This window comes from Homo sapiens, chromosome 16, assembly GCF_000001405.40.
Source record: "Homo sapiens chromosome 16, GRCh38.p14 Primary Assembly".
Taxonomy (NCBI): Eukaryota; Metazoa; Chordata; class Mammalia; order Primates; family Hominidae; genus Homo; species Homo sapiens.
Genome location: NC_000016.10, coordinates 75425740 through 75442906, shown reverse-complemented (window position 1 = coordinate 75442906; position 17167 = coordinate 75425740). Strand labels below are relative to the sequence as shown.

At 46.6% G+C, this 17167-nt stretch overlaps 2 protein-coding genes across 9 annotated transcripts in view, besides 5 other annotated features; one reads left to right on the top strand and one right to left on the bottom strand.

The window, feature by feature from the left end:
* Window positions 1–6686: 6686 nt before the first annotated feature.
* LOC124903723 (tigger transposable element-derived protein 1-like) lies at window positions 6687–7703 on the bottom strand. The gene has a single exon (XM_047435019.1). The coding sequence runs from the start codon at window positions 7603–7605 to the stop codon at window positions 6808–6810; it is 798 nt and encodes a 265-aa protein (XP_047290975.1). The 5' UTR covers window positions 7606–7703; the 3' UTR covers window positions 6687–6807.
* Window positions 8798–9365: an enhancer, noted in NCBI's record as "NANOG-H3K27ac-H3K4me1 hESC enhancer chr16:75467440-75468007 (GRCh37/hg19 assembly coordinates)". NCBI's record gives its function as "activates a minimal SCP1, AML or CMV promoter by ChIP-STARR-seq in naive H9 embryonic stem cells {active_cell/tissue: H9 hESC(naive)}" and the evidence as "EXISTENCE:reporter gene assay evidence [ECO:0000049][PMID:30033119]".
* Window positions 8798–9418: a biological region, named in NCBI's record as "NANOG-H3K27ac-H3K4me1 hESC enhancer GRCh37_chr16:75467440-75468007".
* Window positions 8909–9418: an enhancer, noted in NCBI's record as "active region_11130". NCBI's record gives its function as "activates an Ori minimal core promoter by ATAC-STARR-seq in GM12878 lymphoblastoid cells {active_cell/tissue: GM12878}" and the evidence as "EXISTENCE:reporter gene assay evidence [ECO:0000049][PMID:35858748]".
* Window positions 9404–17167, top strand: part of CFDP1 (craniofacial development protein 1) — a 139794-nt gene continuing 132030 nt past the window's right edge. For all 8 annotated transcript variants that reach the window (XR_007064846.1, XR_007064847.1, XR_007064845.1 and 5 more), the window contains exon 1: window positions 9404–9618. Coding sequence is in view for 5 of the 8 variants with exons in the window: in NM_006324.3 (NP_006315.1) it covers window positions 9555–9618 (64 nt within the window). In the remaining 3 variants the exon portion in view is untranslated. The remainder of the gene's footprint in view (window positions 9619–17167) is intronic.
* Window positions 9729–9968: a silencer, noted in NCBI's record as "silent region_7719". NCBI's record gives its function as "represses an Ori minimal core promoter by ATAC-STARR-seq in GM12878 lymphoblastoid cells {active_cell/tissue: GM12878}" and the evidence as "EXISTENCE:reporter gene assay evidence [ECO:0000049][PMID:35858748]".
* Window positions 11225–11424: a silencer, noted in NCBI's record as "fragment chr16:75465381-75465580 (GRCh37/hg19 assembly coordinates)". NCBI's record gives its function as "represses an EF-1alpha promoter that drives an FKBP-Casp9 reporter gene in an ReSE screen in K562 erythroleukemia cells {active_cell/tissue: K562}" and the evidence as "EXISTENCE:reporter gene assay evidence [ECO:0000049][PMID:32094911]".

The window sequence follows — 17167 nt, the reverse complement described above, 5'->3', positions numbered from 1 at the left end:
CGTGTTTGGTTAATTTAATACCCTTGGTGACATCATAAATCTCACTGTTCTGCCATTTTTAACAAATGGGACTAAGTTGGGTAGTTTACCTCATGGTCACAAGATTGCTGCAGTTCCAGCCATTGCAGACACATACAGAGAATGTCTGGCAGGAGATTGCCCATTCATTCCTTCTAATTTTCTAAAGTTGAGGTTTAACATGCAGTAAAGTGTACAAATCTTAAAATGTATAGCTTAATGAATTTTACATATATATATATATATATATATATATACTTAATGTGACTAATAGATCAAGAGACAGAATGTTTCTAGCACCCCGGAAAGATACGTACACAGTTCAGACAGAAGACCCCAAGACTGTATATGTATCTGGGAGTAAAGGTGCTGAGATCGGCAGGGAGGACACCCTAAATTATTACCGAGAAAACAGAACAGTGAACCAGGAATCTTTAGGGAGTTGGAGGGATTTGTGCTGTGGCCAAGTGGAGAGCCCTGTCCGAAGGAGTCAGCTATTGCTTGGCTCCAGCCTGTTTCTGCTTTATTCGATGATTAACCCAATCTTGCCAGATACTTATTTTCAAGAGAAGCTGGAAATCTAGGTTACTGTTTGAAATCTCTCCATTTTTAAGTGTTAGCAACTAATTTAAACTTGCGTAAAACACTTTTATTATTTATTTATTTATTTAGAGACACAGTCTCGCTCTGTTGCTCAGGCTGGAGTATAGTGGCGCGATCTTGGCTCACTGCAATCTTCACCTCCCAAGTTCAAGTGATTCTCCTGCCTCAGCCTCCCAAGTAGCTGGGATTACAGATGTGCGCCCCCAAACCTGGCTAATTTTTGTATTTTTAGTAGAGACGAGGTTTCACGGTGTTGGCCAGGATGGTCTCGAACTCCTGACCTCAAATGGTCCGCCCACCTTGGCTTCCCAAAGTGCTGGAATTACAGCCGCGAGCCACCTGTAATTGTGCGCCTTGCCGTAAAACACTTTTAAGTCATTACAATACATGATTTTAAGCTGGATTTGGCCTGCTCACCACCAATTTTTTTTCCATCTCAACTATTAGAAAGTAATTCCCACTCTGATTACCCTTAAAGCGGTCAGGAACTCTAGTTGTAAATCTGAACAATCACATGGAGTGCTAGGAGAAATGGGTGCTGGGGAGTGTCTGCCAGAGAACGCAGTGGCTCCTGTTCCCCAGACTCACCCCCAGTGATAGGGCAAAAGGGTACATCCTGATTTGTGGCTGTAGGACACCATTTATGCTGTCCAAGGTAAATGACGCCAAGAATGGTCAACTTCCAAATACTGGGTTCAAATTTTACATCTATTTTTCTATTACTCTCCCATAAGAAAAGTGTGCTTAGGCCGGGTGCAGTGGCTCATGCCTGTAATCCCAGCACTTCGGGAGCCCGAGGCGGGCAGATCACCTGAGGTCAGGAGTTCCAGATCAGCCTGACCAACATGGAGAAACCCTGTCTATACTAAAAATACAAAATTAGCCACACGTGGTGGTGTATGCCTGTAATCCCAGCTACTTGGGAGGCTGAGGCAGGAGAATCGCTTGAACCCAGGAAGCAGAGGTTGCAGTGAGCCGAGATCACGCTATTGCGCTCCAGCCTGGGCAACAAGAGCGAAACTCCATCTCAAAAAAAAAAAAAAAATGTGCTTAAATGGATCATAAACCTAAACGCAAGAACTACAACTCTTAGAAAAAAATAAGCGTAAATTTTATGATCTTGGCTTAGGTAAAGCTTTCTTAGATACAATTCCAAAAGCACAAGGGAAAATAAACAAAAAATAGATAAATTGGACTTCATCAAAATTAAAAACGACTTTGAAGGACACCTTCAAGAAAGTATGAATAGCCAGACACGGTGGCTCATGCCTGTAATCCCAGCAATTTGGGAGGCCCGGGTGGGAGGACTGGTTTAGGTCATGAGTTTGAGATCAGCCTGGGTAACACAGCAAGACCCTATCTTTACAAAATATGTGTATTTTTAAAAGTTAGCTGGGTGTGGTTGTGTGCACCTGAAGTTCTAGTTACTCAGGAGGCTGAGGTGGGAGGATTGCTTGAACCCAGGAGTTGGAGGCTACAGTGGGGCTATGCACCACTGCACTCCAGCCTGGGCAATAGAGCAGGATGCTGTCTTTCAAAAAAAGTGGAAACCTCACAAAATATGAGGAAATATGTTCAAGTCACAAAGGACTGGACCAGCCTGGTGGTGGACCAACTGGACCAACATGGTGAAACCCCGTCTTTACAAAAGGTATAAAAGTTAGCTAGGCGTGGCCAGGCGCGGTGGCTCACACCTGTAATCCCAGCACTTTGGGAGGCTGAGGCGGGCGGATCACAAGGTCAGGAGATCGAGACTAGCCTGGCCAACATGGTGAAACCCTGTCTCTACTAATAATACAAACATTAGCCGGGTGTGGTGGTGCATACCTGTAATCCCAGCTACTCAGGAGGCTGAGGCAGGAGAATCGCTTGAACCTGGGAGGTGGAGGTTGTGGTGAGCCAAGATCATGCCATTGCACTCCAGCCTGGGCAACAACAGCAAGACTCAGTCTCAAAAAAAAAATAATAATAATGATAATAATAATTAGCTAGGCATGATGGTGCGCCCCTGTAGTCCCAGCTACTCAGGAGGCTGAGGTGGGACGATTGCCTGAGACCAGGGAGGTTGAGGCTGCAGTGAGCCGTGATGGCACTACTACAGCGTGAGCAACAGTGAGAACCCATTTCAAAACAAACAAAAAAACTTAAACATCAACAAAAAGAACCCAATTTTAAAATGGGCAAAGGCCAGACGCAGTGGCTCACGCCTGTAATCCCAGCACTTTGGGAGGCCGAGGTGGGCAGATCACGAGGTCAGGAGATCGAGACCATCGTGGGTAACACAGTGAAACCCCGTCTCTACTAAAAATACAAAAAAATTAGCCGGTTGTGGTGGCGGGCGCCTGTACTCGGGAGGCTGAGGCAGGAGAATGGCGTGAACCCGGGAGGTGGAGCTTGCAGTGAGCCGAGATCACACCACTGCACTCCAGCCTGGGCGACAAAACGAGACTCTGTCTTAAAAATAAAATAAAATAATAAAATAAAAAATAAGTAAAATAAAATAATAAAATAAAATAAAATGGGCAAAACAGGCACAGTGGCTCACACCTGTAATCCCAGCACTTTGGGAGGCTGAGGTGGGTGGATCACTTGAGGTCAGGAGTTCGAGACCAGCCTGACCAAAATGATGAAACCCCATCTCTACTAAAAATACAAAAATTAGCCATGCCTGGTGGCTCACACCTGTGGTCCCAGCTACTCGGGAGGCTGAGGCAGGTGAATCGCTGGAACCCGGGAGGCAGAGCTTGCAATGAGCTGAGATCACGCCACTGCACTCCAGCCTGGGCAGCAGAGCAAGACTCCATCTCAAAAAAATAAAATAAAAAGGGCAAAACATCTCAAAAGATATTTCTCCAACGAACATATACAATGGCCAATTAGGACATGAAAAGATGCTTAACTCCATTAGTCATCAGGAAAATGCAAATCAAAACTACAGTGAGATGCCACTTCACACCAACTAGGAAGGCTAGAATAAAAGAGGGTATTGGAGGCCGGGCGCGGTGGCTCACGCCTGTAATCCCAGCACCCTGGGAGGCCGAGGCGGGCGGATCACCTGAGGTCAGAAGTTCAAGACCAGCCTGGCCATGGTGAAACCCCGTCTCTACTAAAAATACAAAAAATTAGCCGGGCGTGGTGGTGTGTGCCTGTAATCCCATCTACTCGGGAGGCTGAGGCAGGAGAATCGCTTGAACCCGGGAGGCGGAAGTTGCAGTGAGCCAAGATGACGCCATTGCACTCCAGCCTGGGCAACAAGAGTGAAACTCTGTCTCAAAAAAAAAAAAAAAAAAAAAGAGGGTATTGGCAAGGGGATAAAGAAATTGTAACCATCACATGCTGCTGGTGAGAATATAACATGGTACAACTGCTTTGGAAAACACTTTGGCAGTTCTTCAAAAGGTTTTGTTTTTTGCTTTGAGACGGAGTCTTGCTATGTTGCCCAGGCTGGAGTGCAGTGGCGCAATCTCGGCTTACTGCAGCCTCTGCCTCCTGGGTTCCAGCAATTCTCCTGCCTCAGCCTCCTGGGTAGCTGGGATTACAGGCGCACACCACCACACCTGGCTAATTTTTGTATTTTTAGTAGACATGGGGTTTCACCATGTTGGCCAGGCTGGTCTCAAACTCCTGACCTCAGGTGATCTGCCTGCCTCGGCCTCCCAAAGTGCTGGGATTACAGGCGTGAGCCACCGCGCCTGGCCTCCAAAGTTTTTTTTTTAAAGTTATTATATGATCACGCAATCCCACTTAGGATATACCTAAGAGAAATGAACTTTGAAAATGTGAAATGTGAAATGTGAAAGAAGCCAGACCCCAAAGACCACATGTTGTCTGATTCCATTTATATGAAATAAATGTTCAGAATAAGCAAATCTATAGAAGTTGGTCTTTGAGGAGAAACAAAGAATGAGCATGAATGGGGAATGAGAAAGGGTTTATTTTGGGGGCAATAAAAATGTTCTAAATGGATTTCGTGATGATTGTGCAAGTCTGAATATACCAAAAACTATTGAATTGTGCATTTTTAAATTTTATTTTATTGAGACGGAGTCTTACTCTGTCACCCAGGCTAGAGTGCAATGGCAAGATCTCGGCTCACTGCAACCTCTGCCTCCTGGGTTCAAGCAATTCTCCCACCTCAGCCTCCTGAGTACCTGGGATTACAGGCACATGCTATCATGCCCAGCTAATTTTTGTATTTTTGTAGAGATGGGGTTTCACTATGTTAGCCAGGCTGGTCTTGAACTCCTGACCTCAGGTAGTCCACCTCCCTCAGCCTCCTAAAGTGCTGGGATTACAGGCGTGAGCCACTACGCCTGGCCTGAGTTGTGCACTTAAATGGGTACATTTTATGGTGTGTGAATTGTGTCTCAATAAGGCTTTTTTTTTTTTTTTTTTTTGAGACGGAGTCTCCCTCTGCCACCCAGGCCGGAGTGCAGTGGCGCGATCTCGGCTCACTGCAAGCTCCGCCTCCCAGGTTCATGCCATTCTCCGGCCTCAGCCTCCCGAGTAGCTGGGACTACAGGCGCCTGCCACCACGCCCGGCTAATTTTTTATATTTTTTAGTACAGACGGGGTTTCACCGTGTTAGCCAGGATGGTCTCGATCTCCTGACCTTGTGATCCGCCTGCCTCAGCCTCCCAATCAATAAGGCTATTTTTAAAAGTTTGCTGGTATAGAGCCATTGCAATGTCTTATTAATCACATGCATGTCTCATCTATTCCTTGATTCACAAAAGATTTATTTCTTGATTTCCTGGATTTACAGACCCAGTCTAGTCCAGAGTGTCAATGAGGAGCAATTTCAGCTGACAAAAACTCATATTTGTATACAAGATAAACAAATAGTTGCCGGGCACGGTGGCTCACGCCTGTAATCCCAACATTTTGGGAGGTCGAGGCAGGCGGATTGCCTGAGGTCAAGAGTTTGAGACCAGTCTAGCTAACATGGTGAAACCCCGTCTCTACTAAAAATACAAAAAAAAAAAATAGCCGGGCGTGGTGGCGTGCGCCTGTAATCCCAGCTACTTGGGAGGCTGAGGCAGGGGAATTGCTTGAACCAGGGAGGTGGGGGTTGCATTGAGCCGAGATCGCGCCACTGCACTCCAGCCTGGGCGACAGAGAGAGACTCCATCTCAAAAACAAACAAAACCAAATAGTGTGGTAGTCATTGGTGTCTCTTCTGAATTTGCTTCTGATTGTTACCTCATAAATAGATCATTAAAATGTTTTAATCTGAAGAAATGGTAAAGATTATATATGGTTGTACTTCCATATGGTTTAACTTGAAGGGTTCCTGTGGATGATGGCTGCATTCCTGAATAGTCAATTCTTTGTATTCACAGTAGTTATGGCTATAAAGTTGTCGAGAACATTGAATTAGCAAAAACCGAACCATGGGTCCTGGGAGAAATACAGGGTTAGGTTCCTGTGAACCTCTGGTCAACACTTTTGTCAACTGATCGGTATGTAACTTTGTTTTATGTGTGTTTCTGTTCAAAGACACCTTATTTAATATGTATTTCTTAAAAATAATCTGCAGTATTTACAATAAAATTTCAATGACAGTAGTTTGGTGTAATGTACTCTAGTGTACTGAGATTGCACTACTTTTTTTTTTTGAGTCAGTCTTGCCCTTTTGTCTAGGCTGGAGTGCAATGGCATGGTCTTGGCTCACTGCCACCTCCGACCCCCAGGTTCAAACGATTTTCCTGTTTCAGCCTCCTGAGTAGCTGGGATTACAGGCGCCCACCACCACACCCAGCTAATTTTTCTATTTTTAGTAGAGACAGGGTTTCACCATGTTGGCCAGGATGGTCTTGAACTCCTGACCTTGTGATCCGCCCACCTCAGCCTCCCAAAGTGCTGGGATTACAAGTGTGAGCCACCGCGTCCAGCCTGTACAACCTTTTCATTGGCACACACAGAGTACACACATATAGTTCCCATATACAGTCAACAGTATAACATACTGTACAGTTCCCACAGTAAACACATACACTACTTTGCACACATACTGTATACCCTACAGTACAGCAATACAAATAAAGGGAAAAAGTTCAAAGATGGAGCATCCTAAGTTTTATAAAAATATCAACTAAAATCTTACGGTTGATGGAGCTGCACAATGTGGTTAAACCTCTCGACCTTGGCTTGCCCCACAGAAACCAGGGGAGGGGTGAGTGAAATTTATTCTGCAGAAGAGGAAGAGGGTGGCAGGTCAACCTCTGGCATTTCTACCTTAGGAGTCTGGCTCTTGACACTTGTTGAAGGAGTGGGCAATCTTCCCTCCCAAACTGGCTTGAGAAATTGCATTAGCCTTGCCTGCCTGGCTTTTCTGCCTGAAATCTTTAAGCATCTCGGTATAAGGGGCAAACGCAGTGGAGGCCAGCCATTTAAATTTGAGGCTTCGATCAAGCGTAGGGTCACACTCTTCCATGTCGCTAAAAATTTTTTCCAAGGCAGAACTCCATTCTGATATTTTGGCGCTGTGAGAGGGACAATTCTGGAAGTCTTGGGCCGACTTTCATGGCCATCAACTCCAATGCCTTCTTTTGCCATCTCATCCAGGTCTTCGTTGGTTGGTTCCACTGCCTTCTCTGCCAAAATGTACTCCACATCTCCTTCCTTCACGTCATCAAAGCCCTCTCCACTTACCTGCTGTGCCATATGCATTATGTCTCTGACAGTGTTCTTTATATTTTCTGTAACACCTTCAAACCCTTCAAAATTCTCCACGCAGTCTGGCCAAACATTTTCCCAACAGTTATTGGTAGTAGCCTGACCAATGCTCTCCCAGGCTGTACTGACATAATCAATAACGTTGCATGTAGTGACCGACTTCCAATAGTCCAGCATGGTGGTTTCCTTGTTGGTCCTGAGAGCCTCACAGGCCTTCATATAAAGCTCCCTTGTGTAGTGTGCCTTGAATGCTTTTATTATGCCCCGATTGAGGGGTTGGATGAGAGACTTAGTGTTTGGGGGCATAAAAAGAACTCCTATGTTGGCGTGTGCATTTTCGAGTTCTTTGCAGCAATGGATTGTAGCATTATCCAAAATTAACAAAACCTTGAAGGTGCCCGGCGCGGTGGCTCACGCCTGTAATCCCAACACTTTGGGAGGCCGAGGCAGGCGGATCATGAGGTCAGGAGATCAAGACCATCCTGGCTAACACGGTGAAACCCCGTCTCTACTGAAAATACAAAAAATTATCCAGGCGTGGTAGTGGACGCCTGTAGTCCCAGCTACTCGGGAGGCTGAGGCAGGAGAATGACGTGAACCCGGGAGGCGGAGCTTGCAGTGAGCCGAGATTGCGCCACTGCACTCCAGCCTGGGCGACAGAGCGAGACTCCGTTTCAAAACCAAACCAAAACAAAACAAACCCAAACAAACAAAAAACAAAACAAAACAAAACAAAAAACCCTTGAAGGCAAGGTTTCTGCCCTGGAGACAGTGTTCAGCTTCTGGGATGAAGCAGTTGTGGAACCAATCAGACATCATCCACACTTTTTTGTTCCACCTCCAATAGACTGGCAGATGGTTCACGTATTTCCCGTTAAGTGCTTGTGGATTTTGGGTTCTTTACACCATTAGGAGTTTGCACTTTAGTCGCTCTTGGCATTGGCGCACAATAACAAGGGTGCATGATCCTGGCATGATTTAAAGCCAGGGGCTTTGGAGGCCGTTTGCATTATATAGGTTCGTTTGCCAACATCCTTGTAAAATAAGCCAGTCTCATCCGCATTGAAAACCTGCTCTTTCACATAACCCTTTTCCTGTATAACACTTAGCAAGTATTTTTAAAATTCTTCCGCAGCCTCCTGATCTGCAGAGCTCGCCTCACCTGCAAGTTTAACATTTTTCACCCCGTATCGCCTTTTGAAACGCGCGAGCCGGCCAGCACTCGCCGAGAAGGGCTTAGCATTTCTTTGACTCTGGGTAACGTGACCACAGATATCTTTGGCTTTCAGCCTCACCACAATGCTGTCCACTATGTTTTTTTTAATCGATTGACATCTCATGAATCCACAAATTTAGCCGCTTTTCCATCTTTTCCATCTTTGTCATAGCTTCATCACGCACGATGGAGGTCACTTCAGCACTATCCGGAGCGGCCTCACGGACAGATCGGTGAATTTCCTTTTCCTTTTTCTTGATGTACCGGATTGTCGACTCGTTAACATTGAGCTCATGGCCAACAGCACTGTAACTCATGCCTGATTGGAGCTTATCCAACACGCGGACTTTCTCCGTAAGGCACATCACGGTCTTCTTTCGCTTAGGAACACTGGGCAGAGCTTAAGCACTACGCTTGGGGGCCATTTTAGAAAGCAAAACCACCCACAAAAAGCAGAAAAAAAAGTGTCAGTAAACAGACTGCGGAAAGGACTCTTTGTTTACAGCACAGGAGCTGCGACTAGAAGGCGGCGCTTCTCCCAGTTCAAACTTCAGCTGGGAACCTTACCTCCGCCAACTCCAAATTTTCACCCTCTGCGCATGCCCGGGAAGAACCCCAGACAGTACCGTGATGATTGATTTTAGGGTTACAAATACATTTTAGCAAGTAAGTGAATTTGGCATTACGAATTAATGATTAATGAAGGTCACCTGTATTTCCATAGATATGTAATTTTATTTAAGCAGGTTTATTATATTAAGGCGGCGAGGCAGCGCCGAAGACTACAAGTTCCAGCATGCACCGCGTCCGGGCGGGTTCGGGCTCCCAGCGAGGGCTTCAGGGACGCCAGCCCGGAGGCATCGGCCGGAAGTGTCGTAGGGCAACCACGTAGTACTCTCTGCGCATGTGCAAAGCGCTGTCGGGGGCCGCCCTAGCTGCCGTCGCCGCCGCCGGGGCTCTATGGTCTCTCCCTAGAGCTTTGCCGTTGGAGGCGGCTGCTGCGGTCTTGTGAGTTTGACCAGCGTCGAGCGGCAGCAACATGGAGGAATTCGACTCCGAAGACTTCTCTACGTCGGAGGAGGACGAGGACTACGTGCCGTCGGGTGAGCGATTCCGCCTGAGGCGAGAAGCGAATTGCCCCGCCCCACGCCTCACGTGAGGCGCGCTCTGCCCCCGCGGGCGTCTGCCCTGTGGCCCAGGTGGTCCAGGGGGGCTCCTGTTCTCGAGCGTCCGCTCCCTCAGGCCCCTCATCCTCGGCCGCTCCGGCCCGAGGCGTGTGCGCGTGGCGGTTCTGTGCTCCCCTCCCGTTGGGCAGCTCCGGCCGCCGCCCCCTCTTGCAGCGCGGGAACCGGCACATGGACACGGCCCCTTGTCGCTAGGGACGCTCGTCGGTCAGCCCCGAACGACACCGCTGCTTCAGAAGTCGGGGCGGCAGTCCGAGCCTTGGAGGTTTTTTTCAGCCCTGGCCCGAGAGAGCTGCTGGCCACCACCCCGTCCAAGATAGAGCTGTCCGCTCTCCGCCTGGTTGTTAGAAAGTTCTGATAGAAAGTTCCCCCTTTGATGCTTTTTGCCTCATTGTGACGTCCACCCATCCTCTCCTCTCAGAACTTTCTTTCCTTAGGGATCTCAACCCGAACGGGGTGAGAATGAATCTTACTGAAGAAATCTTTCTGTTCCCCCTTCTTGGTCTTCCCCAGACAAACCGTCTCGTTGAAAGTATCTTCACCCATTCACATCTTCAGTTGAAAGACTAGACAAACAAGAAACAAACAGACTAACAAAACACAACCCAGGAGTCGTCCCTATTCTCTTTGTTTTACTTTGTTCTGTTCTGTTTTATTTAAAGACAGGGTCTTGCTGTTGTCTAGGCTGGAGTGCAGTGATGCGATCTTGGCTCACTGCAACCTCAGACTCCTGGGCTCAAGCGATCCTCCCGTCTCAGCCTCTGGAGTAGCTGGGACTGCAGGTGCAGGCTGCCACGCCCGCTAATTTTTTAAATTTTTTTTTTTTTTTTTTTTTTTAGAAATGGCATCTTGCTATGTTGCCCAGGCTGGTCTCGAACTCGTGGGCTCAAGTGATCCTCCCACCTCAGCCACCCAAAGTGCTGGGATTACAGGCATGAGCCACCGCGCCCCGGCTAGTGAAGTATTTCTAAAAGGCACGTTGAAAACTAGCCATTCCATTCCTGGCGCGGTGGCTCATGCTTGTAATCCCAACACTTTGGGAGGCTGAGGTGGGTGGATCACAAGGTCTGGAGATCGAGACCATCCTGGACAACATGGTAAAACCCCGTCTGTACTAAAAACACAAAAATTAGCTGGGCATGGTGGCACGCGCCTGTAGTCCCAGCTCCTCAGGAGGCTGGAGCAGGAGAATCGCTTGAACTCGGGAGGTGGAGGTTGCAGTGAGCCGAGATCACACCACTGCACTCCAGCCTGGGTGACAGAGCGAGACTCCGTCTCAAAAAAAAAAAAAAAAAAGTTAGCCAGTCCCATCACCCTCATCCCTATTTTATTTAATATTCCTCAGGAGAAACTTCTTTCCACCTTTTGAATTTGGTATTATATTTCTGTTGTCTATTGATTTAACCCATGTATAGTAGGTATCATTTTTAGTAGCCCCTGACCTCCTTCCCCTCATCCCAAACACACACACAAACACTTCCACCTTCGGGGCCTCCCCAACTCCGTAGTCTGCCGTTGAACCTGTGTCCAGTTTTAGTTAGATCAGTATTCAGTGTTTTTTTTTCTTTCGAGACAGTGTCTCGCTCTGTGGCTCAGGCTGGAGTGCAGTGGCACAGTCTCTGCTTAATGCGGCCTCTGCCTTCCCGGTTCAAGCAGTTCTGCCTCAGCCTCCTAAGTAGGTGGGATTACAGGCGCCCGCCAGCACACCCGATCGATTTTCTTTTCTTTTCTTTTTTTTTTTTTTTTTTTTTTTGAGACAAGAGTTTTGCTCTGTCTCCCAGGCTGGAGTGCAGTAGCGGGATCTCGTCTCACTGCAAGCTCTGCCTCCCGGGTTCACGCCATTCTCTTGCCTCAGCCTCCTGAGTAGCTGGGACTACAGGTCCCCGCCAGCACACCCGAATGATTTTTTTGTATTTTTAGTAGAGACGAAGTTACACCATGTTGGCCAGGCTTGTTTCAAACTCCTGACCTCAAATGGTCTGCCCGCCTCGGCCTCCCTGAGTGCTGGGATTACAGGCGTGAGCCACCGTGCCAGGCCCAGTGTTTTTTTTTTCTAATGACAGTGTGAATAAACATCATGTTGACAGCTGAACCGTATGTTATACAGATTACTTTTCCTGCACTTCTTGTTTTCTCTGGTGCTAATAATTGCCATTTTTTGTTGCTACTTAGCTGTCTATGTACTTAACTGCTGTAAACCAAAAATAAAATTCTAAGGCGCCCCCAACCATCTGAATGGACTTCCTCCTTAGCCAGGGCTCTTTAACATTTAACCTGAGAGACTGTTTTGGGCCATGATGGGAAGTGGGGGCTGAACCTGCCTCATTGTATGTCTCTGACATTAACATCGATGCAGACTTTAAGTCTGATAATAAACATTTTGCAACCTATTCTCTCTGAAGCCTGTCTGCTAAAAGCTTCATCTGTATGATAAAACTGTGTTCTCAGCCGAGCAGTGGCTCGAGCCTATAATCCTATCACTTAGGGAGGCAGAGGCTGGTGGATCATTTGAGGTCAGGAGTTCAAGACCAGCCTGGCCAACGTGGTGTAACCCCATCTCTACTGAAAATATGAAAATTAGCCAAGTGTGGTGACGGGCGCCTGTAATCCTATCTACTGGGGAGGCTGAGGCACGAGATCTCTTGAACCCAAGAGGTGGGGGTTGCAGTGAGTGAAGATCATGCTTCTGCACTCCAGCCTGGGTAACAGAGCAAGACTCCATTTAAAAAAAAAAAGTGGCCAGGTGCGGTGGCTCACACCTTTAATCCCAGCACTTTGGGAGGCTGTGGTGGGCGGATTGCCTGAGGTCAGGAGTTGGAGACCAGTCTGGCCAACATAGTGAAACCCTGTCTGTACTAAAGATATAAAAAAATAGCTGGGTGTGGTGGCGTGTGCCTGTAATCCCAGCTACTCCGGAGGCTGGGGCAGGGGAATTGCTTGAACCAGGGGCGTGGGGTTGCAGTGAGCTGAGGTTGCGCCACTGCACTCCAGCCTGGGCAACAGAGTGAGACTCCATCTCGAAAAAACAAACAAACAAACAAAAAAAACCTCTGGTCTCCACAACCTCTATCTTAACCCAGACATTCCTTTCTGTTTAGGCAAACTCAACCTGTTGCCAACAAGAAAATTTTTAAATTTACCTGTAGCCTGGAAGCACTCCCACCCCGAGTTGTCCTGTCTTAATGGACCAAACCAGTATATTTCTCAAATGTATTTGATTGATGTCTCATGCCTCCCTAAAATATATAAAACCAAGCTGCACCCCAACCACCTTGGGCGCGTGCTCTCAGGACCTCTTGAGGGCTGCATCATGGGCTGTGGTTACTCATATGTGGCACAGAATAATTCTCTTCAAATACTTGACAAGAGTTTGACTCTTTTCGTCGACACTGCTAATTTGACTCTAAACTTTTAGAATTGTATAAATCATCTCCCAAAATATTTACATTCATTAGATTTTCACTTTAATCTTCTGAAACAGTCTTTGCCTTCTGGCCTCCACTTTGTCTTGGTTACCTTCTATGAGTACTCCAGTGTATTTACTTATTTATTTAGAGATAGAGTCTTGCTCTTGTCGCCCAGGCTGGAGTGCAGTAGCGTGATCTTGGCTCACTGCAACCTCCACCTCCCGGGTTTGAGCGATTCTCTTGCCTCAGCCTCCCAAGTAGCTTGGATACAGGTGCCCACCACCACACCCAGCTAATTTTTGTATTTTTAGTAGAGACGGGGTTTCACCATGTTGGCCAGGCTGATATTGAACTCCTGACCTCAGGTGATCCGCCCTCCTCAGCCTCCCAAACTGCTGGGATTACAGGCGTGAGCCACCACGCCTGGTCAGGAACATTCTTATGAGACCTTGAATGCCTAAAAGTAACCATGCCCCTCAGGCGTAATTGATTGTCTGTTTGAATTCTAGGTTGGAAATAATTTTCCATCAGAATTTTAAAGTGTTACTTCATTACTTTCTAGATTCCCATGTTGCTATTAATAAATATTTTGTTACTGATTTCTGCTCAATGTATAAGATCTGTTTGTCTCCGGAAGCTGGTAGAATATTCTCTTTGTTCCCATTTTCTTTTTTCTTTTTTTTCGAGACAGACTCTGTCTCTCTTGTCCAGGCTAGAGTGCAGTGGTGGCATCTAGGCTCCCTGCAACCTCCACTTCCCGGGTTTAAGCAACTCTCCCACCTCAGCCTCCGGAGTGGCTGGGACTACAGGTTCATGCCACCACGCCTGGCTAATTTTTGTATTTTTATAGTAGAGACGGGATTTCACCATGTTGGCCAGCCTGGTCTCGAACTCCTGACCTCATGATCTGCCTGCCTCGGCCTCCCAAAGTGCTGGGATTACAGGCGTGAGCCTCTACGCCTGGCCTGTTCCCATTTTCTAATATGTCACCATGATATATCTTGGTATGAGTGTTTTCAGCCATTTTGCTGAGCCTTCTGAGAACTTTTTTTTCCTATAATTTTTTTTCCTTTTCCTTTTCCTTTCTTTCCTCTCTCACTCTTTCTTTTCCTTTCCTTCCTTTCTTTTTTTTCTTTCTCTCCCTCTCCGCCCTTCTTTTTCTCTCTCTCTATTTATTTATTTTTGAGATGGAGTATAGCTCTGTCACCCAGGCTGGAGTGCAGTGGCGCAATCTCGGCTCACTGCAACTTCCGCCTTCCGGGTTCAAGCGATTCCCCTGCCTCAGCCTCTCGAGTAGCTGGGATACAGGCGCGTGCCACCACACCTGGCTAATTTTGTTTTTGTATTTTAATAGAGACGGGGCTTCACCTTGTTGGTCAAGATGGTCTCGATCTCCTGACCTTGTGATCCACTTGCTTCGGCCTCCCAAAGTGCTGGGATTACAGGTGTGAGCCACTGAGCCCAGCCAACTTTGAATATTTTTATAGCATTATGTTCTTCTTTTGTAAATGCAGTATCAGCATTTAACATACAATTTTTAACTTACATACAATAAAATTTACTGTTTTCAATGTACTGTTCTCTGATTTTTGTTAAATGCCTAGCGTTGTGTAACCTCCACCAAAATGAACAGTTTCAAGCCGTCAACCCTCTTAAAAAAAAAAAAAAACAAATTTCCCCTGCTACTCTTTGTAGTCAAACAACTCTCCCTCACCCCCGGCCCCAGCCATTAGCAACCTCTGGTCTGTTTTCCATCTTTATAGTTTTGCCTTTTTCAGAATATAATCTAAATGGAACCATAACAGTAGGCAGCTTTTTGTATCTGGCTTCTTCCGCTTAGCATAATGCATTTGAGATTCACCTGTGTTGTTGCACATGTCAGTAATTAGCTCCTTCTGTTGTTGGGTGGTAGTCCATTATATGGATATACCACAGTTTATTCTGCATTTGAAAGACACTGGGTTGTTTCCAATTTTTTATGATTACAAATAAAGCTGTTTATAAATATTTACACACAGCTTTTTCTGTGAACATGGGTTTTCATTTCACTTGAGTCAATATCTAGGAGTGGGATTACTGGGTTTTGTAGTATGTGTATGTTTAACTTTACAAGAAGCTGCTAAATTTTTTTGTGGCTTGATTGCTGTTGGTAACAAGTTTGAGAGTTCAAGTTGCTCTTCATCCTCAACAACACTTGGGGTGGTCAGATTTTTTTGTTTTTGTTTTTGTTTTAAATATTAGCTAATTTGGGGCCGAGCGCGGTGGCTCATGCCTGTATTCCCACCACTTTGGGAGGCCAAGGCAGGCAGATCACAAGGTCAGGAGTCCAAGACCAGCCTGGCCAATATGTTGAAACCCTGTCTCTACTAAAAAATACAAAGAATTAGCCGGGCATGGTGGTGCATGCCTGTAGTCCCAGCTACTTGGGAGGATGAGGAAGGAGAATCGCTTGAACCCAGGAGGTGGAGGTTGCAGTGAGCCGGAATTGTGCCACTGCACTCCAGCCTGGGCAAGAGAGCGAGACACTGTCTCGAAAAAAAAAGAAAAAAAATTAGCTAATTTCTCCTTTAGTTTGCATTTCCCTAAGGATGTTGATGCTCTTTTCATGTTCCTGTTTGCCATCATTTTATCTTCTTTGGTGTGTCTTTTGAATTCTTTGTCCATTTAAAACATTGGGTTGTTTTCAGTTTTGGAATTATATATTCTGGATATAGTCCTTTGTCAGATATTTGTTTTGTTTTTTTTTTTTTGAGACAGTCTCGCTGTCCCCCAGGCTGGAGTACAGTGGCATAATCTTGGCTCACCACAACCTCCACCTCCCGGGTTCAAGCGATTCTCCTGCCTCAGCCTCCCAAGTAGGTGGGATTACAAGCACTCGCCACCACACCCAGCTAATTTTTGTATTTTCAGTAGAGATGGGGTTTCACCATGTTTGCCAGGCTGGTCTCCAACTCCCAACCTCAAGTGATCCACCCACCTTGGCCTCCCAAAGTGCTGGGAGTACAGGCCTGAGTCACCACCCCCGGCTCCTTTGTCACATACTTGTTTTGCAGTGTTTTGTCTCTGTGCTTGTCTTTTCATTCTCTTAATAGTGTTTGCACAGCAATTTTTTTTGGTGTTTTTTTGAAACAGAGTCTTGCTCTGTTGCCCAGGCTGGAATGCAGTGGCACGATTTCACCTCACTGCAACCTTTACTTCCTGGGCTCAAACAATTTTCCTGCCTCAGCCTCTGTAGTAACTGGGACTACAGGCATGAGACACCATGCCTGGCCTGCAGAGTAAAATTTTTAAACTTGGATAAAATCCAGTTTGTCAAATTTTTCTATTATGGGTTGTGCTTTTGGAATCATATCTAAGAACTCTTTTTTGCCTAACTCGGGATTACAAAGATAGTGTATTTTCCTATGTAAAAGTTACATAGTTTTACTTTGTTGTTGTTTTTGTTTTTTTGAGATAGAGTTTCGCTCTTGTTGCCCAGGCTGGAGTGCAATGTCATGATCTTGGCTCACTGCAACCTCCGCCTCCTGAGTTCAAGGGATTCTCCTGCCTCAGCCTCCTGAGTAGCTGGGATTGCAGGCATGTGCCACCACGCCTGGCTAATTTTGTATTTTTAGTAGAGACAGGGTTTCTCCATGTTGGTCAGGCTGGTCTTGAACTCCCAACCTCAGGTGATCCGCCCACCTCGGCCTCCCAAAGTGTTGGGATTATAGGCATAAGCCACAGTGCCTGGCCTTTACTTTTTTTTTTTTTTTTTTTTTTTTTTTTGAGACAGAGTGTTGCTCTGTTGCCCAGGCTTGAGTGCAGTGGCATGATCTCAGCTCGCTGCAACCTCCGCCTCCCAGGTTCAAGCGATTCTCCTGCCTCAGCTTCCCGAGTAGTTGGGATTATAGGCGCCTGCCACCACGCCTGGCTAATTTTTGTATTTTTAGTGGAGATGGGGTTTCACCATGTTGGCCAGGCTGGTCTTGAACTCCTGACCTCTCAGGTAATCCGCCCACCCCGGCCTCCCAAAGTGCTGGGATTACAGGAGTGAGCCACCGTGCCCGGCCAGCATTTACTTT